Source organism: Homo sapiens, chromosome 16 (assembly GCF_000001405.40).
Source record: "Homo sapiens chromosome 16, GRCh38.p14 Primary Assembly".
NCBI lineage: Eukaryota > Metazoa > Chordata > Mammalia > Primates > Hominidae > Homo > Homo sapiens.
This window is the reverse complement of record NC_000016.10, coordinates 89,195,636-89,217,670: the sequence shown is the minus strand read 5'-3', so window position 1 is coordinate 89,217,670 and position 22,035 is coordinate 89,195,636. Positions and strand designations below refer to the sequence as shown.

At 53.0% G+C, this 22,035-nt stretch overlaps 1 protein-coding gene and 1 long non-coding RNA gene across 16 annotated transcripts, besides 5 other annotated features; both read left to right on the top strand.

Annotated features, from left to right (window-relative positions):
- ZNF778-DT (ZNF778 divergent transcript) lies at positions 18-2,511 on the top strand. The gene has a single exon (NR_186410.1). It is a non-coding gene; the product is annotated as a ZNF778 divergent transcript (long non-coding RNA).
- Positions 137-186: an enhancer, noted in NCBI's record as "active region_11397". NCBI's record gives its function as "activates an Ori minimal core promoter by ATAC-STARR-seq in GM12878 lymphoblastoid cells {active_cell/tissue: GM12878}" and the evidence as "EXISTENCE:reporter gene assay evidence [ECO:0000049][PMID:35858748]".
- Positions 1,136-1,430: an enhancer, noted in NCBI's record as "tiled region #4154; K562 Activating DNase matched - State 4:PromP". NCBI's record gives its function as "activates a minimal TATA promoter and a strong SV40 promoter by Sharpr-MPRA in K562 cells {active_cell/tissue: K562}" and the evidence as "EXISTENCE:reporter gene assay evidence [ECO:0000049][PMID:27701403]".
- Positions 15,978-16,067: a silencer, noted in NCBI's record as "silent region_7895". NCBI's record gives its function as "represses an Ori minimal core promoter by ATAC-STARR-seq in GM12878 lymphoblastoid cells {active_cell/tissue: GM12878}" and the evidence as "EXISTENCE:reporter gene assay evidence [ECO:0000049][PMID:35858748]".
- SLC22A31 (solute carrier family 22 member 31) lies at positions 15,993-21,910 on the top strand. Of its 15 annotated transcripts, none has more exons than NM_001384767.1 (9): positions 15,993-16,409; positions 17,855-17,899; positions 18,104-18,258; positions 18,480-18,648; positions 18,874-19,019; positions 19,121-19,229; positions 19,335-19,549; positions 20,262-20,373; positions 21,366-21,910. In NM_001384767.1, exons 4-9 carry the CDS (start codon positions 18,521-18,523, stop codon positions 21,670-21,672), a joined length of 1,017 nt encoding a protein of 338 aa, NP_001371696.1. In that variant the 5' UTR covers positions 15,993-16,409; positions 17,855-17,899; positions 18,104-18,258; positions 18,480-18,520; the 3' UTR covers positions 21,673-21,910. The 15 variants fall into 15 exon arrangements, with proteins under 15 accessions (NP_001371696.1, NP_001371702.1, NP_001371700.1 ...); NM_001384773.1 differs by having other exon boundaries at positions 17,855-17,958; positions 18,896-19,019; NM_001384771.1 differs by having other exon boundaries at positions 17,855-17,958; positions 21,523-21,910.
- Positions 16,360-16,982: an enhancer, noted in NCBI's record as "H3K4me1 hESC enhancer chr16:89267097-89267719 (GRCh37/hg19 assembly coordinates)". NCBI's record gives its function as "activates a minimal SCP1, AML or CMV promoter by ChIP-STARR-seq in naive H9 embryonic stem cells {active_cell/tissue: H9 hESC(naive)}" and the evidence as "EXISTENCE:reporter gene assay evidence [ECO:0000049][PMID:30033119]".
- Positions 18,231-18,854: an enhancer, noted in NCBI's record as "H3K27ac-H3K4me1 hESC enhancer chr16:89265225-89265848 (GRCh37/hg19 assembly coordinates)". NCBI's record gives its function as "activates a minimal SCP1, AML or CMV promoter by ChIP-STARR-seq in naive H9 embryonic stem cells {active_cell/tissue: H9 hESC(naive)}" and the evidence as "EXISTENCE:reporter gene assay evidence [ECO:0000049][PMID:30033119]".

The window sequence follows — 22,035 nt, the reverse complement described above, 5'->3', positions numbered from 1 at the left end:
GGCGCGTCTTTGGCGTCACTTCCGCCTCCAGCCTCCGGGCCGAAGCTTTGGCCTATGGTGCGGGGAGGTAGTAGTTTCTTCCGCGAGGGTGCGGGAGGGCCCCGGGGCGCCCTTGGGAACCGGGCTGGAGGCAGAGACAGGCCCGGAGGACCAGGCGGACGTAAGGATCAGGCCTCTGGACGCAACTGCGGAGCCGGAACAGACCAGGAGGGCGCGGTTGGGCGGGTACAGCCAGGAAGTGCTCGTCGCGAGCGCGGCCCGCGGTTCGGTCACAGCGAGAAGCCCGCGGGTGCTGGGAGTGCTCGGTCTTCTCTCGATCTCTGCAGGGAGTCACTGGCCCCGTTCCTTTTTATCTGTCTGAACATCACGCCGAACTTTTAACAGTTGATTCCACTGCATTTTCAATGTGGTATTTTTTTTTTCTGTAAATGTTCATCTATTTTTCGCTTCAAATATGCGTTTCTGTTACTTTTCTAATGTACCGTAGGAGCCAAGACCACCTATACTACGTTGCAAAATAGCACTGATACCAGGGGTTCTCCCAAGGTTCATTCAGAAATGTCACATGATTCCAGTAACAATACGAAAAGGTTTTTTTTTTGGAACCAGGCATATTGATCCTGGAGTTCACATGGAGGAACAAATGTCTCATAACGCAGACGACGCGGACAAACAAAAGCGCAATGCCCGACAGATGCGAAAACAGCCTCTGTCATTAAAACTGTGTGCTAGTGACACATGAACAGGAAACAAATGGAATATCCAGACATCAACCCAGTAACATGGAAATTTGGTTCATAAACATAATTTCAGAGCGGTGGAACAAACATGCAGTTTATAATGAAAGGTGCTAAGACAAATGGTTAGCCGTCTGAGAAATGATGAAATTAATTCTGGATCTCACAGGGATAAACTCCAAACGGATCAGGAGTCTAAATGTGAAAAACAAAACAAAACCACATGTGAAGTGTTCACGTGATTTCGTGGCTGATTAAGAAACAAGATGTGCCCAGGAGGTGGCGGTGGCGCACAAGCTTTGACAGGTTGGAGGGTGAGGGAGTCTCACGCACCATGAGATTACCCACAGGCTTCGAATTGGGGGTCACTACTCAGAAAAGAGAAAAAAATGAGCGTGGGCGGGGGGCGCGCAGAGAACTCCCAGAGAAGAAGGAGATCAGACAGGGGGAGGGCTGACGTGACTAGATCACGTTTCTCAGCAGCCTGACAGGTGTCTGAGTCACAAAGCTCTGAAGGGCAGCAACGGCTTGCAGTCTTTAGAGCCCCAGGATTTATCTTATCTATGGCTAGCAGAGATTGGACACAATTTCACGAAGTATACAAAGCAACCACATGCTAAATGGTTCAACACTATGAGTGTTTGGGATGTGTTTTATTTATTATTTATTAATTTTGATACGGAGTCTCCCTCTGTCGTCCAGGCTGGAGTGCAGTGGCACGATCTTGGCTCACTGCAACCTCCGCCTCCCAGGTTCCAGCTATTCTCCTGCCTCAGCCTCCCAAGTAGCTGGGATTACAGGTGCCCACCTTGTAATTTTTAGTAGAGACGGAGTTTCACCATGTTGGCCAGGCTGGTCTCAAACTTCTCACTTCAGGTGATCCACCCGCCTCGGCCTCCCAAAGTGGTGGGATTACAGACGTGAGCCACTGCAGCCACCGTGCCTGCCCTTGGGATATGTTTTTTTTTCTTTTAATTTTGTTTTGTTTTGTTTTTTTGAGACGAAGTCTTGCTCTGTCGACCAGGCTGGAGTGCAGGGGCACAATCTTGGCTCACCGCAACCTCCGCCTCCCAGGTTCAAGCGATTCTCCTGCCTCAGCCTCCAGAGTAGCTGGGATTACAGGCACGTGCCACCAAGCCCAGCTAATTTTTGTATTTTTAGTAGAGATGGGGTTTCACCATGTTAGCCAGGATGGTATCTATCTCTTGACCTCGTGATCCTCCTGCCTCAGCCTCCCAGACTGCTGAGATTACAGGCGTGAGCCACCGCACGGATATGTTTTAAGTAACTGAATGTATTAAAATTTGACTTTGGCACCAGCAGGCTATTGTGAATAATGTTGCTTTGAGCATCGTGTGCAAAAATATCCTGGACCCTTGTTCTCAGCACTTTTGGATATATATGCAAAAGTGGAATGGCTGGGTCACATGATAATTCTGTCTGATGTTTTGAGAAACCACTGTCCTGTTTTCCAGAGCTGCTGCACCATTTTGTATTCCCATGAGCAGGTGCACAAGGTTCCAACTTTACCACATCCAGCCAACAGTTACCTCCTATTTAATGGCTAAGAGCCATCACCACCGGGGTAATGTGATCTCACTGTGGCTTTTGTTTTCATTTCCCTAATGTTTAGTTATGTTGATCATCTTTTCATGTTCTTATTGGCCATCTGTTATCTTCTTTATTATAAGTCCTTTTCTGAATTAAATTGGTTTTGTTGTTATTCTTGAGTTATAGGAGTTCTTAATAAACTGAATATTAATCCTTAAGCAAACACAAGATTTGCAAATATTTCCTCCCATTCTGTGGGTTTCCTTTTCACTCTCATGATTGTCCTTGGATGCACAAAATTTGTAATATTGATGTAGTCCAATTCATCTAGTTTTCTTCAGTTGCCTGTGTGGGTGATTTCATAACCAAGAAATCATTTCCAATTCCAGTGCCATGAAGTTTTTTCTCTATGTTTTCTTCTAAGAGTTTTATACATTAGCGCTTACATTTAGGTTTTTGATTCATTTTGAATTAATTTTTATATGTGGTATAAAGTAAGGGTCCAGCTCCACTGTTCTGCATGTAGATATCCAGTTTTCTCCAGCACCATTTCTCCCCCAGGCTCTATTGAGGTACAACTGACAGATTTAAAAAAATCATATATACTTAAGATGTGCAATGTGATGATTTGATGTATGCACACACTGTGAAATGACCATGATCAAACAGATCTACACATCCATCCCCTCAGCTAGGCACCTTCTTTTGAGTGTGTGGTGAAAATAGTTAAGATCTACTATCTTAGCAAATTCCAATCATCATACAATATAGTAGTATTAACTAAAATCTCCATGCTATACATTACATCCCAGATCTTACTCATCCTTTAACTTAAAGTTTGTACCATTTGACCAACATCTCCCCATTCCTTCCACCAACCCCATCCTCTGGCACGCAACATTGTACTCTCTGCTTCTAGGAGTTCAGCTTGTTTGGATTCCATGTGAGGTTACATAGGATTTCCTTTCTTTTTTTTTAAAAAAAGGCTAAATAATCGTGTGTGTGTGTATGTGTGTGTTTGTGTCATAGTTTTGTTTTGTTTTTAGAGATAAGATCTCACTCTGTTGCTCAGGCTGGAGAGAGTGCAATGGCACAGTCATGGCTCACTGCAGCCTTGAACTCCTGGGCTCAATCATCCTCCTGCCTCAGGATCCTGAGTAGCTGGGACTACAGGCATGCACCACCACACCTGGCCTTCTTTTTCAAGATTGGTTTAGCTAATTGAACTCCACTGAGATTCCATATGTGCACTTTATTTCTTTTTTGTTATTGTTGTTGTTTGAGACAGAATCTCGCTCTGTCACCCAGGCTGGAGTGCAGTGGTGCAATCTCGGCTCACTGCAAGCTCCGCCTCCCAGGTTCACGCCATTCTCCTGCCTCAGCCTCCGGAGTAGCTGGGACTACAGGCGCCCACCACCATGCCCGGCTAATTTTTTTGTATTTTTAGTAGATACGGGGTTTCACTGTGTTAGCCAGGATGGTCTCGATCTCCTGACCTTGTGATCTGCCCATCTCGGCCTCCCAAAGTACTGGGATTATAGGCGTGAGCCACTGCGCCCGGCCCTCATTTTTTAATTTATGTTTTTTGAGATGGAGTCTCACTCGGTTGCCCAGGCTGGAGTGCAGTGGCGCCACCTTGGCTCACTACAATGTCCACCTCCCAGGTTCAAGCAATTGTCCTGCCTCAGCCATGCCAGTAGCTCAGATTACAAGCGCGTGATACCATGCCTCGCTAACTTTTGTATTATTAGTAGACACAGGGTTTCGCCATGTTGGCGAGGCTGTACTCCTGACCTCAAGTGATCCTCCTACCTTGGCCTCCCGAAGGGCTGGGGTGTAGGAGTGAGCCGCCGCACCCTGCCTGTGCGTGGTATTTTAAAGCTAATTTTGGAAGTACTTTAACCTCACTTCTGTCATATTCTGCTGGTCACAGAGACCAACCCTACTATGATATAAGAGGACTACACAGAGGTATAAATCTCAGGAAGCAGGAATCACTGGGGCACATCATCCTCCTGGAACAGAGAAGAATTTGGCAACATCCAACAAAACTACAGGTGCAATCCAGCAATCCTACTTCTCAACATTTTCCCTGAAGGCAAATCTCTTAACAATTCAAAAATGCCTTAGACGACCAATTGCAGTCAAGCAGTCGGGTAGCTGAGTGTAGCATGGTGCCTCCAGCAGTGGAGTGCTACGCAGCTATGGAGATGAAGGTCTCTATGAGCTCCTATGGAGTGATTTCCAAGATACATTATTAAGTGAAAATGTAAACTACAGGCCGGGCGCGGTGGCTCACGCCTGTAATCCCAGCACTTTGGGAGGCCGAGGCGGGCGGATCACGAGGTCAGGAGATCGAGACCATCCTGGCTAACACGGTGAAACCCCGTCTCTACTAAAAATACAAAAAATTAGCCGGGCGTGGTAGCGGGCGCCTGTAGTCCCAGCTACTCGGGAGGCTGAGGCAGGAGAATGGCGTGAACCTGGGAGGCGGAGCTTGCAGTGAGCCGAGATCGCGCCACTGCACTCCAGCCTGGGCGACAGAGCGAGACTCCGTCTCAAAAAAAAAAAAAAAAAAAAAAAAAGAAAATGTAAACTACAAAACAGTAGCTACAGTAGGAAACCTTTTCTTTGGAAAAATAGACTGGGCGCAGTGGCTCATGCCTGTAATCTCAGCACTTTGGGAGGCTGAGGTAGGCGCGGATCATTTGAGGTCAGGAGTTCGAGACCAGCTTGGCCAACACGGCAAAACCCCGTCTCTACCAAAAAATGCAAAAATGAGCTAGCCATGGTGGTGGGCACCTGTAGTCCCAGCTACTCAGGAGGCTGAGGCAGGAGAATCGCTTGAACCTGGGAGGTGGGGGTTGCAGTGAGCCGAGATCACGCCACTGCACTCCAGACTGGGCGACAGAAGGAGACTACATCTCAAAAAAATAATAAAAGGAAAATAGACAATAAAATATACATGTATATTTATCTCTTCATGTTGAATACAAGGAAATACAGATAAGATTATTCAGAAAATAATAACCCACAGGTTGAGAAGGATGGTAGGATGAGAACAAGGTGGAAAGGAAGGGGACAGGGAAGGCCCTCTAAAGATGACATTCTGTTCAGTTCTGATGTCCAAACTGAGTTATTTCTTTACATTCTTAATGTTAAAAAATCAACATAGGGCTGAGCGTGGTGGCTCATGCCTGGATTCCCAGCACTTTGGGAGGCCAAGGCGGGAGGATCACTTGGGGCCAGCAATTCAAGACCAGCCTGACCAACGTAGTATAACCCTGTCTCTACTAACAGTACAAAAAAGCCGGCCGCAGTGGCTCAGGCCTGTAATCCCAGCACTTTGGGAGACCGAGGCAGGCGGATCACGAGGTCAGGAGATCGAGACCATCCTGGCTAACACGGTGAAACCCCGTCTCTACTAAAAATACAAAAAATTAGCCGGGCGTGGTGGCGGGCGCCTGTAGTCCCAGCTACTCGGGAGGCTGAGGCAGGAGAATGGCATGAACCTGGGAGGCGGAGCTTGCAGTGAGCCGAGATCGCGCCATTGCACTCCAGCCTGGGCGACAGAGTGAGACTCCGTCTCCAAAAAAAAAAAAACCAAAAAAAAAATACAAAAAAAATGAGCTGGGCATGGTGGCGGGCCTCTGTGATATCAGCTACTCAGGAGGCTGAGACAGGAGAATTCCCTGAACCTGAGAGGTTGTGGCTCACACTCCCTCACCCTGCTCCCCTCCCCTGCAGCTCTCTCTGCCCCACTCTTCCCTCATGGGACCTAGGGACAGAGGACTAACCTTTCCACTCCTGGACTCCACCCTGCCCACGGTCTGTAGGTAATAAATCTTTAAACGTGTTTCCTATTGTAGCAGTTGAATTTGCGCCTTCCACAGGAAGGGCCAGGGGGTGCCCAGTCTGCGTTTTCCCGGAGACCTGGGGCAGCAGGGGGGATACAAGGGCGGGCTCCCAGTGCCAGAGCCATGGTCAGGCAGGCACAAGCTGGACACAGGTCAGACAAGAGCCACGGGGCATCTGTCAGCATGAGCAGATTCCCCATGGGATGGACCCCAGATCGCAGGTTGGACAATGAGGCATTGGGCCTTCCACCGTGTAAAAGCTGCATCCCGTCACAGGTGCATGGCAAACGCCATGTCCAGCCCCTTTGTTTCCCATGAGCGCAGGGCTGCCAGCTGCCTGTCACTGGAACGCAGTTTAGCTGAGGGCTCTCAAGACAGGGTGGAGGGAGTCCTTGGAGGCTCTGCTGATACTCAGCATAACAGAGTGACAGATGGCAGCCTGGCCCCAAACTGCAGCTTGTGTGTGAGTCACAACCACAGTGAAGGGCCTCAGTAATGCGTTCCAGGTGAGGGCAAGCGAGTATACTTCGCTCATCTCTCCCGCTGAATACAACACCAAACCTGGACAGAATGTATGGAAAAGGTCACTGAAGACTGAGAAGTAAACAGCAGCAAGGAGAACTGGGAAAATACCAAATTTTGAAGCTCTGCCAAGATGATGCAGGGCAGGTGAGCCCCAAATTCGGGCTTGGCCCAGGAGAGTTCTTGGCTTCACCCAGGAAAGAATGTAAGGGTGAGCCTGGGGCAGGAGAAGGCAGGGTTACAGAGGCAGCCATGTATGGAAAGTGGCTGCTCCTTGCAAAGCACGGCTACCCCACAGGCAATGCACGCAGAGTAACTGTAGATGGGCTATTGACAGCTGTATTTATTTATTTTTTTGAGACAGTCTTGCTCTGTCACCCAGGCTGGAATGCAGTGGTATGATCTTGGCTCACTGTAACCTCCGCCTCCTGGGTTGAAGTGATTCCCCTGTGTCAGCCTCCTGAGCAGCTGGGATTACAGGTGCCCACCACCACGCCTGGCTAATTTTTGTATTTATAGTAGAAATGGGGTTTTGCCATGTTGCTTGAGCTGGTCTCGAGCTCCTGACCTCAAGTGACCCACACGCCTCAGCCTCCCAAAGTGCTAGGATTACAGGTGTGAGCCACCGCACCTGGCCAGCAGCTGTATTTACACCCACTTTTAATTATATGCAAATTAAGGGACTTTTTAGAACTTTCTAGAGTTTCTGGAGTTTCCAGAACCATGTAAGGTCACTTTCGGTCATCGCCATGGCATGTGGCCATGGTACTTGATCTTCTTTGGGTGTGTGGTCTTATTTCTTTCGTTCATTTGTTTAGTTTATGGGTGCCCTTTTATTTATCAGCCAATCTGATAGCATGCTAGACATAACACACATCACATAAGCAAAGCAACCTAAATAAGAGAGCTGGATCCAAGTTATTTACAAAATTGGGACCTCTCTACCTGGCTAAACTTTGTTTGCTCTAATGGGTGTGGAATACAGGGTGAGGCAGGGAAGGGGATCTCAGAGCAGCAAATAAGGAAGGGCGGGGGTGATCCTGGCTCACCCAATATTGGCAGAACACACAGCAGGGACACTTACCTGTCCACAGGAGCCAAAATGGCACTGCCCGGTCTCCCCCAGGTCTCCCTGGTTTGGAGGGGTTCAGCCATTAGGAGGGGAGCAGCGTGTGGTTCTGCAACCAGCCGATCGGAGCAGTGGGTCTCACACGAGGTGGTGCTGTGGCTACTTGCCTGTCCACTCGGCTCCGCCACCTGTCAGGAAAGACGATGGCCCCTGAAAGAGCCTGTGGCTAGTGTCACAGGTCTGCAGTGTCACAGCGTTCCACTGTCCCAGCCGTGATATTTGCAGCTTTGATGGCCATGGCACTGGTCACTGTCTCTCACTGACCCGCCACCTTGCGTCATTTGCTGCCCTGCCAATCACCGCCTCTCTGCCTCTCACTGTCTTCTCTTCATCCCTTTGTGGCCGCCAAGGTGATGTAGGGCAGCTGAGCCCCAAAATTGCAGCTTGGCCCAGGAGGGTCCTTGACTTCACCCCAGAAAGTATGCGAGGGCGAGGCAGCGGTGGAAGAGGCGGCTTTACTGAGCAGCCATGCACAGAGAGTGGCTGCTCCATGTACAGAGAGTGGCTGCTCCATGCACAGAGAGTGGCTGCTCCATGTACAGAGAGTGGCTGCTCCATGTACAGAGAGTGGCTGCTCCATGCACAGAGAGTGGCTGCTCCATGTACAGAGAGTGGCTGCTCCATGCACAGAGAGTGGCTGCTCCATGTACAGAGAGTGGCTGCTCCTTGCAGAGCAAGTCCAATCAACAGGCAGGGCACCCAGAGCAGCCACTTGGAGGCTGCTGGCAGCTGTATTTACCCATATTTAATGACACACAAATTAAAGAGGTTATTGGCCGGGCGCGGTGGCTCACGCCTGTAATCCCAGCACTTTGGGAGGCCAAGGAGGGCGGATCACGAGGTCAGGAGATCGAGACCATCCTGGCTAACACAGTGAGACCCCTGTCTCTAGTACAAAATACAAAAAATTAGCCCGGCGTGGTGGCAGGCGCCTGTAGTCCCAGCTACTCGGGAGGCTGAGGCAGGAGAATGGCACGAACCCGGCAGGCGGAGCTTGCAGTGAGCTGAGATAGTGCCACCGCACTCCAGCCTGGCGACAGAGCGAGACTCCATCTCAAAAATAAATAAATAAATAAATAAATAAATAAATAAATAAATAAATAAATAAATAATAAGTAACCTCTTTATTTTATTTTTTGAGACCAAGTCTCGCACTGTTGCCCAGTTTGGAGTGTACTGGCGTGATCTTGGCTCACTGCAGCCTCCGCCTCCCAGGTTCAAGAGATTTGCTTGCCTGGGTGTTCGGTGGCTCACGCCTGTAATCCCAGCACTTCAGGAGGCCGAGGTGGGCAGATCACAAGGTCAGGAGTTCAAGACCAGCCTGGCCAAGATGGTAAAACCCCATCTCTACTAAAAATACGAAAATTAGCTGGGCGTGGTGGAGCACGCCTGTAATCCCAGCTACTTGGGAGGCTGAGGCAAGAGAATCACTTGAACCCAGGAGGCAGAGGTTACAGTGAGCCGAGATCACGCCACTGCACTCCAGCCTGGGTGACAGAGCGAGACTCCATCTCAAGACAAAACAAAAAAAAACAAAAACAGAAATATCTCAAATCAACTTAAACAACCAGAAAGGAACAACCTAAACCCAAAGCTAGTAGAAATAAGAAAATAATAAAAGATTAGAACAAAAATAACAGAAATGAAAAATAGAGGATGAAACCAAAAGTTGATTTTTTGCAAAGATCAACAAAATTGACAAACTTTTTGCTAAATGGACTAAGAAAAAAGAGAACACTCAAGTTACCAATAGTAGAAATCCAAGTGGGGACATTACCACTGATTCTACAGAAATAAAAAGACCGCAAGAGAGTGTTATGAAAAAAGTCGTACACAAATTGTATAACCCAGATGAAATGAACACATTCCCAGACACGCTAAACATACCAAGACTAAATCAGGAAGAAGTTAGAAATCTGAGTGGACCTGTAAGTAGTATGGAAGTAGAATCACTAGTCAAAATTCTGATAAAGAAAAGCCCTGGTGGGCACCGTGCCCACACCTGTGATCCCAGCACTGGGGGAGGCCGAGACGGGCGGATCATGCGAGGTCAGGAGTTCAAAGCCAGCCTGGCCAACATGGTGAAACCCCATTTCTACTAAAAATACAAGAAAATTAGTTAGGCATGGTGGCACACGTCTATAGTCCCAGCTACTCGGGAAGCTGAGGCAGGAGAACTGCTTGAACCTGGGAGGCAGAGGTTGAAGTGAGCTGAGATCATGCCACTGCACTCCAGCCTGGGCGACAGAGTGAAGCTGCGTCTCAAAAAAAAAAAGAAAAGCTCTAGACCTGATGCCTTCACTAGTGACTTCTACCGCATGTTTAAAGATGATTTAATGTTAAAAATTCTCAAACACTTCCAAAACACTTAAGAGGACGAAATACTTCTTAAGTCTTTCCATGAAGCTTGCATTACTCTGACACCAAAGCCTGTCAGAGATATAAGAAAACTAGAGACTAATATCCCTTACGAACATTAACATAAAAACCAACAAAATAGGCCGGACGTGGTGGCTCATGCCTGTAATCCTAGCACTTTGGGAGGCCGAGGTGGGCTGATCATGAGGTCAGGAGATTGAGACCATCCTGGCTAACACGGTGAAACCCCATCTCTACTAAAAATACAAAAGATTAGCTGAGCATGGTGGTAGGCACTTGTAGTCCCAGCTACTCGGGAGGCTGAAGCAGGAGAATCGTTTGAACCTGGCAGGCTGAGATTGCAGTGAGCCAAGATCGCGCCATGGCACTCCAGCCTGGGCGACAGAGCGAGACTCTGTCTCGAAAAGAAAAAAAAAAAAAAAAAAAAGTCATATATGAAAAACCCAAAGCAACCGTCTTACAGAATGGTGAAAGAATAAACTTTTCCTTTAGGATAAGAAACGAGGCAAGGTTGCTGGCTTTCACCACTTGGACTCAGCATAGTACTGGAAGTTCTGACCAGAGCAATTCGGGAAGAAAATACAATAAAAGCCACCCAAATTGGAAAGCAAGAAGTAAAATCATCTGTTCGCAGAGGATATGATCTTATATACGGGAAATCCTTGAAGATTACACACACAGACAGAATGTGTTCGAACTAATAAATGAATTCAGCAAAGTAGCAGGATACAATGTCAAAATGCAAAACCAGTGCATTTCTATATACTATCAATTAACAATCTAAAAAAGCATTTACGGAAATAATTCTACTCACAATAGCATCTTGGCCAAGTGTGATGGCTCACGCCTGTAATCCCAACACTTTGGAAGGCCAAGGCAGGCGGGTCACTTGAGGTCAGGAGTTCAAAACCAGCCTGGCCAACATGTTGAAACCCCATCTCTACTACGAATACAAAAAAATTAGCCAGGTATGGTGGCAGGCGCCTGTAATCTCAGCTAGTTGGGAGGTTGAGGCAGGAGAATTGCTTGAACCCGGGAGGCAGAGGTTGCAGTGAGCCAAGATGGTGCCACTGTACTCCAGCCTGGGTGACGGAGCAAGACTCTATCTGAAAAAATAAAAGTAAAAGAATAAAATACTGCCGAGGTGGATGGATCATGAGGTCAGGAGATCAAGACCATCCTGGCTAACACAGGGAAACTCCGTCTCTACTAAAAATACAAAAAATTAGCCGGGTTTGGTGGCAGGTGCCTGTAGTCCCAGCTACTCGGGAGGCTGAGGCAGGAGAATCACTTGAACCTGGAAGGCGGAGGTTGCTGTGAGCCGAGATGGCGGCCACTGCACTCCAGCCTGGGTGACAGAGCGAGACTCCATCTCAAAGAAAAATAATAAAATAATAAAATAATAAAATACTTAATAACTAACTTAACCAAGGAGGTAAAAGAATTGTGCAATAAAAATCTACAAAAAATTAAAGAAAGCATAAACAAATGAAAACACATCCCATGTTCATGGATTAGAAGAATTAATATTGTTAAAAATGTCAACACTGCCCATATAAATCTGCAGATTCAGTGCAATCAATTTTGATTAATTCAAAACAGTATTAATTCTTCTATCAAAACATTTTGATAGGGAATTCGTATCAAAGTCCCACTGACATTGTTGTTACAGAAAAATTCATTTAAAAACTCACATAGGCCGCGCGCGGTGGCTCACGCCTGTAATCCCAGCACTGTGGGGGCCAGGCGCGGTGGCTCCCGCCTGTAATCCCAGCACTGTGGGAGGCCGAGGCGGGCGGATCACGAGGTCAGGAGATCAAGACCATCCTGGCTAACACGGTCAAACCCCGTCTCTACTAAAACTACAAGAAAATTAGCTGGGCGTAGTGGCGGGCTCCTATAGTCCCAGCTACTCGGGAGGCTGAGGCAGGAGAATGGCGTGAACCCAGGAGGCGGAGCTTGCAGTGAGCCGAGATCGCGCCATTGCATTCCAGTCTGGGCAACTGAGCGAGGCTCCGTCTCAAAAAAAAAAAAAAAAAAAAAAAAATTCATATGGAACCTTGTGGAACCCCAAATAGTCAAAATAATTTTTAAAAAGAACAAAGCTGGGCTGGGCGCGGTGGCTCACTCCTGTAATCCCAGCACTTTGGGAGGCCAAGCTGGGCGGATCACAAGGTCAGGAGATCGAGACCATCCTGGCTAACACGGTGAAACCCCGTCTCTACTGAAAATACAAAAAAATTAGCTGGGCGTGGTGGTGGGCACCTGTAGTCCCAGCTACGTGGGACAAAGCTGGAGGACTCACAGTTCCCGATTTCAAAACTTACTTCAGGCCGGGCACAGTGGTTCATGCCTGTAATCCTAGCACTTTGGGAGGCTGAGGCGGGTGGATTGTCTGAGCTCAGGAGTTTGAGACCAGCTTGGGCAACACAGTGAAACCTCGTCTCTACCAACATACAAAAAATTAACTGTGCTTGGTGGCACGTGCCTGTAGTCCCAGATACTCGGCAGGCTGAGGCAGGAGAATCGTTTGAACCCGGGAGGCAGAGGTTGCAGTGAGCCAGGATCACACTGCTGTACTCCAGCCTGGGTGACAGAGCGAGAATCTGTCTCCAAGAGAAAAAGAAAAAAGAAAAGAAAAAACTCACCTAAAATCTTCAGTAATTGGGTTGGGTGCAGTGGCTCACGCCTGTAATCCCAGCACTTTGGGAGGCCGAGGCGGGTGGATCACCTGAAGTTGGGAGTTTGAGACCAGCCTGGCCAATATGGAGAAACCCGGTCTCTACTAAAAACACAAAATTTAGCCAGGCGTGGTGGCGCATGCCTGTAATCCTAGCTACTTGGGAGGCTGAGGCAGGAGAATTGGTTGAGCCTGGGAGGCAGAGGTTGCGGTGAGCCAAGATCACGCCATTGCACTCCAGCCTGGGCAACAAGAGTGAAACTCTTTCTAAAAAAAAAAAAAAAAAAATCTTCAGTAATCAAAACAGTGTAGTACTGGCATGAAGACAGCCATCTAGACCAATGGAATAGAATAGAGAGCCCAGCAATGAACACTCCTCAATATGGTCGAACGATTTTTGACAAGGGTGCCGAGACCAGTCGATGAAGAAAGGACAGTGGTTTTTCAACAAATGGTGCTGGGGAAACGAAATATCTTCATGCAAAAGAATGCAGGTGTACTCTTACGTAACACCAGATACAAAAATTACCTAAAAACGGATCAAATACCTTAATGTAAGACCTTAACTTATAACACTCTTAGAAGCAAACATAGGGCAAAAGCTTCATGACACGAGACCTGGCAATGATTTCCCAGATATGACACCCAAGGCACATGCCAGAAAAGGAAAAACAGACTGACCTTCATGAAAATGAAAAAATTTTGTGCATCAAAAGACAATATCAACACAGTAAAAGAGCTACTCGCAGAATGGGAGAAAATATTTGGAAATCATATATATAATAATGGATTAATATCTAGAACAAAGAGAGAACTGCTAATGCTCAATAACAACAACAACAAAAAGGAACAGCCCAATTCAAAAATGGGCAAAGGACTTGGACAGATATTTCTCCAAAGAAGATATACAAATGACCAATAAGCACATGAAAACATGTTCAATATCACTAATCATTAGGAAAAAGCAAATGAAAACTACAATGAAATACCATCCCATACCCATTATTAGGATGACTACCATCAAAAAAACCCAGAAAATAACAATGTAGGTGAGGATGGGAGAAATCGGTACCTTGCTGCTGGAAATGTACAATGGTGCAGTCACTGTAGAAACAGTATGGTGATTCCTGAAAAAGTTAAAAATAGAACTACCCTCTGATTCAGCAATTCCATTTCTAGGTATATACATTGAAAATAATTCAAAGCAGGGTGTCAAGGAGATATTTATATTTCATGTTCATAACAGCATTATTCACAATTGCCAAAAGGTGGAAGCAACCTAGTTTACAGAAACAGATGAATGGGTAAACCAAATGTGACATATCCATACAATGGAGTATTATTCTGCCTTTAAAAAGAAGGAAATTCTAACATATGGAAAGATATGAATGAATCTTGAGGACATTATGCCAAATGAAATAAACCGTTCACAAAAAGAAAAATGCCGTGTGATTCCACTTCTAAGAGATACTTAGCTTAGTCAAAATCACACACAGAATACAGAATGCTAGTTCCCTGGGGCGAGGAGGAGGGGCTATGGGGAGTTACTATGTAACGGGCATCGAGTTTCTGTTTTACAAGGTGAACAGAGTTAAGGAGCTGGATGGGGGTGACGGCTGCACCATAGTGTGAATGTATTTGATACCACTGAACTGCACACTTAAAATGGTTAAGATGATACATTTTGTTGTGCTTTATCACAATAAAATAACTGAAACAAACCGGAACATGGGTGTTGGCAAGGATGTCGGGGAACGAGCACCCTTCTGTATTGCTGGTGGTGAAATCGAACCGCCGCTGCGGAAAACCGTTCTGCGGTTTCACAAACAGTTCACACCCTAAGGCCCAGCTATTCATGCCTAGGTATACACCAAAGATAAATGGAAACAGGCACCCAAATACTTGTACGAAAATGTTCATCGTGTCACTGGACGCAAAAGGCAAAAAGTGGAAACAACCCACTGTCCATCAACAGAGGAAGAGAGAAACGTGTGGGCTCCATCCACGGAATATTATTCACTCCTGAAAAGGAACGCGGGTCTGATCCCCGCTCCACCGGGGACGAACCTTGAAGACGCGATTCTAAGCGAAAGACGCCGGAACACAAAAGGCCACAGCACGTAGGGCTCCATTGAACGGAGGTCAGAACAGGCTGGTCCGCGGAGCAGGGCGGGGGCTGCAGGGCCCTGGAGGGGCGCGGAGAGCGGCCGCCGACGGGCGGGCTCTGCTCGGGTAGAAGCTGTTCCGGAGCCCGAGAAGGTGCTGGTCCCGCAACACTGTTGGGGGGGCCCCGCTGAGCTGAGCCTTGCGACCCGGTTTATGTGACGTGAGTTCCACCTCAATCTAAGTGTGAGGAAGCGAACAGCGTTCTGAAACGCAGAAACGTGCCCATTCGAATTGTTAACGCGAGCGCAGAGCCCACTGACAAAGCAAAATAAGACAAACCGGGAGTCAGAAAACTCAGCGACCCACAGGATCCACCGTGATGTTTCCCACAAATGTTACCGCGAAAACAGTCGGACTTGAAAATAAACGCGACCTACCTGGTTCTCGGAAGGGGAGAAGGATCCGGGCGAAAGGCGTCAGTTCTCCCTCGCTCGCCCCGTAGACGCAGCGCAGGCCCCGAGCTCCCGAGCGGCGGTTTCAGAACCCGCGGGTCACCCGGGAGCTCCTCCCGCAGTACCAGCCGAAAGCTCCCAGCGCCGAGGAGGGCGGGCGGCTGCCCTCCCCGACCTCGCCCCGCCCGCGCGGACGCCCCCGGCCCCACGCGGGGACCACCCCGGGACGCCGGCCGGAGCCCGCGCGCCCCCGGGCAACCTGAGTGCACCTGCGCCGCGAGGGCACCTGAGCGCTCCCGGCCACGCCCCTGCCACGCCCCCGGCCCCCACGTGCCGCCCTCACGGGGCCCCGCCCCCTCGCGGTTCGGCCGCAAGCCCCGCCTCTCAACCTTCCCGCCCCTCAACCTCCCCGCCCTATGCCCCAGATCGGGCCCCGCCCCTTTACGCCTTAGGCCCCGCCCTCACACCGCCCGCCCCCACACCCCGCCTCCACTGGACTCAGGCTCCGCCCCTTAATGCCTCGCCCCAAAGCCCCGCCCCAGGAGCCCGCCCTGGTCCAGGCCCCGCCCCGTCCCGAGCGCAGCCTGCGACCGATGGAGCAGGAGGCGCGGGTGCTGAGAGCTGCGGGCGGCTTTGGCCGGGCCCGGCGCCTGCTGGCCTCCGCCTCGTGGGTACCCTGCATAGTGCTGGGGCTGGTGCTGAGCTCCGAGGAGCTGCTTACCGCGCAGCCCGCGCCCCACTGCCGACCGGACCCCACGCTGTTGCCCCCAGCGCTGCGCGCCCTGCGCGGACCCGCGCTGCTGGACGCCGCCATCCCGCGCCTGGGGCCCACGCGAGCCGCGAGCCCCTGCCTGCTCCTGCGCTACCCCGATCCCGCGCCCTGCACCCGCCCCGGGCCCGCGCCCCGCGCCCGCACGCAACGGCACCCGGCCCTGCACACGCGGCTGGCTCTACGCGCTGCCCGGCGCCGGCCTCCTGCAAAGCCCGGTCACCCAGGTGCGCCCCCGTCCCTGCTGCCCCGCAGCCCTCCCCGCCCCCAGCCCGCCGAGGCCCTGGGTGTCCTTTCTCCATCCTACCTGGCGCCTCTGACCCGGGCCCCCCGGCCGTCCTCCTGGGCTTCCTGCTCCGGGGCGGCCGCCGGCCCGACGGTGCCGCAGACGGGCGCGCACGGGCCGGACCCGCGGAGAGGGGCCGGGCGGGGGCTGAATCTGGGCCTGGGAGCTGCCAGGCGCGGGGCGGCCTGGGGCGCTGGAGGATTGGAGCCGAAGGCGCCGGTGGGGGAGCAGGGCCTGGAATTTGCTTCAGGACCACCAGCGTCTTCAGCAGACCGTGGCTTTGGGCTGGCTTTCCAAGGCAGAGTCTCTGCTTGGAGGGACTGACGTGGTCAGCACAGACTGGGGAAGGTGGGCTTCCCATCAGTGAGGTGCGCAGAGGCTGGGCTAGAGACTGCATTGCCTGAAGGGAAACCTTGACGATCTGCGTGAGAAGAGATGGGGAGGCGGGCGGCAGGGACCTCCAGGCCCCTTTCATGCCTTTCCGCGCTGGGGCTGAGACCTGCACACCCCTGAGGCAGCCTTTACCCCGAGGCCCCCATCCCCCATCCTGGGAGGACTGGCCCCAGTGTGGAAACTGGAACGGGGTTGCCACATCTTCACAAGGGCTGCCTGGGGCCCTGGAACCCGCCGGGCTTCTCTCTCCACCCTGCTCCCTCCCACCTCCCACCTGCCCTCCTCCTGTTTGGTGCCTGGATCCAGGAATGCCCCATCAGCTTTCCCAAAACGTCAGGTTTGAAAGTAAAATCTCGGGCATAGCACGGCCCCCAGCAGTAGATTAAGCTTGCCAAGAAGACCCAGGAACCGGAAGGGGTGGGGGGAGGCGCAGAGCTGAGGTCAAGGGTCAAGGGCCTCACCGGGAAATGCCGCTGAGCACAGCTCTCCAGCCGCTGCCCGAGTCCCTCTTGAAATGGGCAGGGCAGGGAGGGCGTGGGTACCAGCGCAGGTGCTGGGGTTCATTTCTTAGGCCTGTGTCATGGCTATGACCCTTGGCCGGCTGGGGTGGGGGCTGTGTCTATGACGCCACCAAGGCCCTGGGTGTCCCCGGGGTCCCTCGGAATAGGAGGTGGAAACGGGTCGGACAAGAGCTGGCCGTGGGGGAAGAGCAATGGTGTGCGGAGGTGGGGGAGGCCCTATCTAGGGACAAGCAGAAAACTTAGGGTGGGCAGATCCCCCCGACCCCTGTGCAGGGGCTGCCGGAGACCAGAGAGGCTGCTGTGTGACCTGGACCAAGCCCCTTGCCCTCTCATGCCTCAGTTTCCCCTTCTCTCCACGGAGGGATTGAGCAGGACATGGAGGGCCCCTTCCAGTAGCCATTCTGGGACTCCCTGCACCTGTCCCCAGGGGAGGGTCCTGAGCTGGCCTCCACGTGGCTGCTGTTCCCCATAGTGGAACCTTGTGTGTGGAGACGGCTGGAAGGTCCCGCTGGAGCAGGTGAGCCACCTCCTGGGCTGGCTGCTGGGCTGTGTCATCCTGGGAGCAGGCTGTGACCGGTGAGGCCCCTTCCCTTTTCCTGCTGCCCAGCAGCCCTCCCCTCCGCCCACTCTCAGGGTTCAGCTAGACCTGGTGCTGCCAGGATGAAGGTTGGACCCTGGGTTATCCTGACCCTGTCCAAGCATGTCCCCCGCTGCCCACCAGGTTTGGACGCCGGGCAGTTTTTGTGGCCTCCCTGGTGCTGACCACAGGCCTGGGGGCCAGTGAGGCCCTGGCTGCCAGCTTCCCTACCCTGCTGGTCCTGCGCCTACTCCACGGGGGCACATTGGCAGGGGCCCTCCTCGCCCTGTATCTGGCTCGTGAGTACCCTGGGGGCTGCTGTCACTGGGGGAGGGGCAGTGGGTGGCCCGCAGGCCTCTGAGGCTCCCTTGCCGAGGGCCCCGAGCTGCAGGGACAGTGAGCAGTGAGTCCCTTGGGCATCCCGCTCCTGGGCAGGTCACCAATAGGTCCCCGCAGTTCCCAATGGAACTGTTCCAGTCCTCCCCGAGGCCTCCACTTCAACCTGTCTGTGTCTGCCCAGGCCTGGAGTTGTGTGACCCTCCCCACCGCCTGGCCTTCTCCATGGGGGCTGGCCTTTTCTCGGTGGTGGGCACCCTGCTGCTGCCCGGCCTGGCTGCGCTTGTGCAGGACTGGCGTCTTCTGCAGGGGCTGGGTGCCCTGATGAGTGGACTCTTGCTGCTCTTTTGGGGGTAAGTGTGGTGGGAGCTGGGCCAGCAGCCCTCATCGGGGCTGACTATGTAGCTTCCCTCTGCACCGACGTATCCCATGCCAGGTAAACGCATGGGTTACAGGGTCACAGAGAACTACAGTGATGTCCTGCCCCTGAGCCTGGGGGTGGGGTGGGGGCCCTGGCCTTTGCCTCTCCTTCCAGGAGGAGGTGGAGGGAGCCGTGGGCATCCTCACCAACGCTGCAGGTTCCCGGCCCTGTTCCCCGAGTCTCCCTGCTGGCTGCTGGCCACAGGTCAGGTAGCTCGAGCCAGGAAGATCCTGTGGCGCTTTGCAGAAGCCAGTGGCGTGGGCCCCGGGGACAGTTCCTTGGAGGAGAACTCCCTGGCTACAGGTCAGGCGCCTACCAGGGAGGAGGGAGATTCAGGTACTGGAGGAGGGCTTCGGAGAGGCACAGCTCCTCACCCCCCTCCCCTCACATCTCTGCGGCTACAGAGCTGACCATGCTGTCTGCACGGAGCCCCCAGCCCCGGTACCACTCCCCACTGGGGCTTCTGCGTACCCGAGTCACCTGGAGAAACGGGCTTATCTTGGGCTTCAGCTCGTGAGTCGAGGAAGGGCTGGGGTCCTGCACCATCCCCCGGGGTGGGCATATGGTCCCCAGAGTCCCCGGCTCTGGCTGGGCCCATAGATTTGCTCTCTCTCCCAGGCTGGTTGGTGGAGGCATCAGAGCTAGCTTCCGCCGCAGCCTGGCACCTCAGGTGCCGACCTTCTACCTGCCCTACTTCCTGGAGGCCGGCCTGGAGGCGGCAGCCTTGGTCTTCCTGCTCCTGACGGCAGATTGCTGTGGACGCCGCCCCGTGCTGCTGCTGGGCACCATGGTCACAGGCCTGGCATCCCTGCTGCTCCTCGCTGGGGCCCAGTGTGAGCTTGGGGCCCCGCAGGCCATACAGGAGCCATTGTGTTTGGGCCGACGGTCTGCCACACCAGGGGGCCATAGTGCCGACAGGGGAGCAGCCTGGGGTGGCAGCCCAAGGCCAGCTGCTGTTTGTTTTCCTCTGATCCTTGTGGAAGGCCCAAAAGGATCTTTTGTGACTGGCCTAAAGTAAGGAAACTGTCTGAGCCTAAAACACCTGCCCCAGCCACAGAGTGCAGCACAGGCATGAGAGGTCAAGAGGCCGGGCTGGGTAAAAGCTCTGCCCAGAGTTCCAGGTGGCCGAGGCCGGCCATGGACTGGTGTGGGAGGGCCCATATACTCAGGGCCAGCCACATGGTGTGTGGAGCTAGGTGCAAAATGAAATGCAGGCCTTGCTTCCAACGTATTCGAGATTTTAGGACGGTTCTCGAAATTGCAAAGACAGTGGACAGCACAGCAGTAGCTGAGCGTGGGCCCGAGTGGAGGTGGTCGGTGTGGCTGCGGCTCGGGGTCAGGATTCTAACATCCTTAGAATCCAAGCCAGGCTGGAATCAGGCTGCAGAGGACAGGTTCCCCCTCCAGGTTTCTCAGGGGGGCTGGAAAAGGAGGCTTGGAAAGTGGGTCCCCAGACAGTGGTGTGGTTCTCTGGGGAAGGGCCCTGAGTGGCCAGGGTGGAAGGCCTGGGGAGAGAGCCTGGGAACCCCTGTTCTTTGTCCCCAGATCTGCCAGGCTGGACTGTGCTGTTCCTCTCTGTCCTGGGGCTCCTGGCCTCCCGGGCTGTGTCCGCACTCAGCAGCCTCTTCGCGGCCGAGGTCTTCCCCACGGTGATCAGGTGAGCTTCAGGGTTGCCCGGCCACACAGCAGGGTCCAGGGCCTCTCATGGGGAGGAGGGGCCAGGTGGACAGGAGGCCCTGTCCCCATACCCCACCCAGGTTCCTGCCTGTGATTCCTCCATCCAGTAAGGACTCGGGGTAAAGCACTGCCCTGCTCCTGGATGGTGGGGGCCACTGCTCACAGAAGGCTCTGGGCAGACGGCTCAGGAACTGGGAAGGGGAGGGAAGGCCACGCAGGCCTGAAGCCAGGAGTGCGGGGTGGGGGCAGAGATGAGGAGGCCTCCAGAAATGGCAGAATTCTCGGGGAAAGCATCACTTTTCGATCTTCTTCTTCTTCTTTTTTTTTTTTTTTGAGATGGAGTCTCGCTCTGTCACCAGGCTGGAGTGCAGTGGTGTGATCTCAGCTCACTGCAGCCTCCAACTCTCTGGTTCAAGCGATTCTCCTGCCTCAGCCTCCTGAGTAGCTGGGATTACAGGCACCCACCACCACGCACAACTAATTTTTGTATTTTTAGTAAAGACAGGGTTTCACCATGATAGCCAGGATGGTCTCGATCTCCTGACCTCATGATCCGCCTGCCTTGGCCTCCCAAAGTGCTGGGATTACAGGCATGAGCCACTGTGCCCGGCCACTTTCCAGTCTTGAACAGAGCAAAAAGTGCTCCAGGAGAGGAAGGAGGTTTTTCCAAAACAATTTTTCAAATTATCCTCAGCCAGCAAACCTTAGGCTGTGCGGAGGCCGGGCCTTCCCCCTGCTCACTCTGGAGTCACATGTGTGTCCCCCAATCTGTTGCCCCACCAGCTGCCCCCAACGCACTCTCTCCCACAGAGGGGCCGGCCTGGGCCTGGTGCTGGGGGCCGGGTTCCTGGGCCAGGAGGCTGGCTGCCCCCAACACACTCTGTCCCACAGGGGGGCCGGGCTGGGCCTGGTGCTGGGGGCCGGGTTCCTGGGCCAGGAGGCTGGCTGCCCCCAACACACTCTGTCCCACAGGGGGGCCGGGCTGGGCCTGGTGCTGGGGGCCGGGTTCCTGGGCCAGGCAGCCGGCCCCCTGGACACCCTGCACGGCCGGCAGGGCTTCTTCCTGCAACAAGTCGTCTTCGCCTCCCTTGCTGTCCTTGCCCTGCTGTGTGTCCTGCTGCTGCCTGAGAGCCGAAGCCGGGGGCTGCCCCAGTCACTGCAGGACGCCGACCGCCTGCGCCGCTCCCCACTCCTGCGGGGCCGCCCCCGCCAGGACCACCTGCCTCTGCTGCCGCCCTCCAACTCCTACTGGGCCGGCCACACCCCCGAGCAGCACTAGTCCTGCCTGGTGGCCCTGGGAGCCAGGATGGGACCAAAGTCAAGGCCTGGGGCATGGCTGAGTACCCCAGACGTCTGGTCCAGGGCAGACACATTCCTCTCAGAAGCCCGTGTCTCAGTGCAGGTGGAGCCGTGGGGACAGCGTGAAGGTGTCTCCAGCCAGGCCCCAGGCACTGGGAGGCCCTGGGTCTCCCCCCAGCCACACCCAGTAGGTGTGGAGGATAAAGGCTTCTGTGGAACTTGGCGTCCTCCCTGGTTCTTCCCTCAGGCCACACCTGGGGCCTGGAAGGGTCTCACCTGTGCCTGCTCCCCACCTCTGGGCTCACCAGCAAGGAGCCAGGGTGTCAGCGGCTGCTCCATAGCC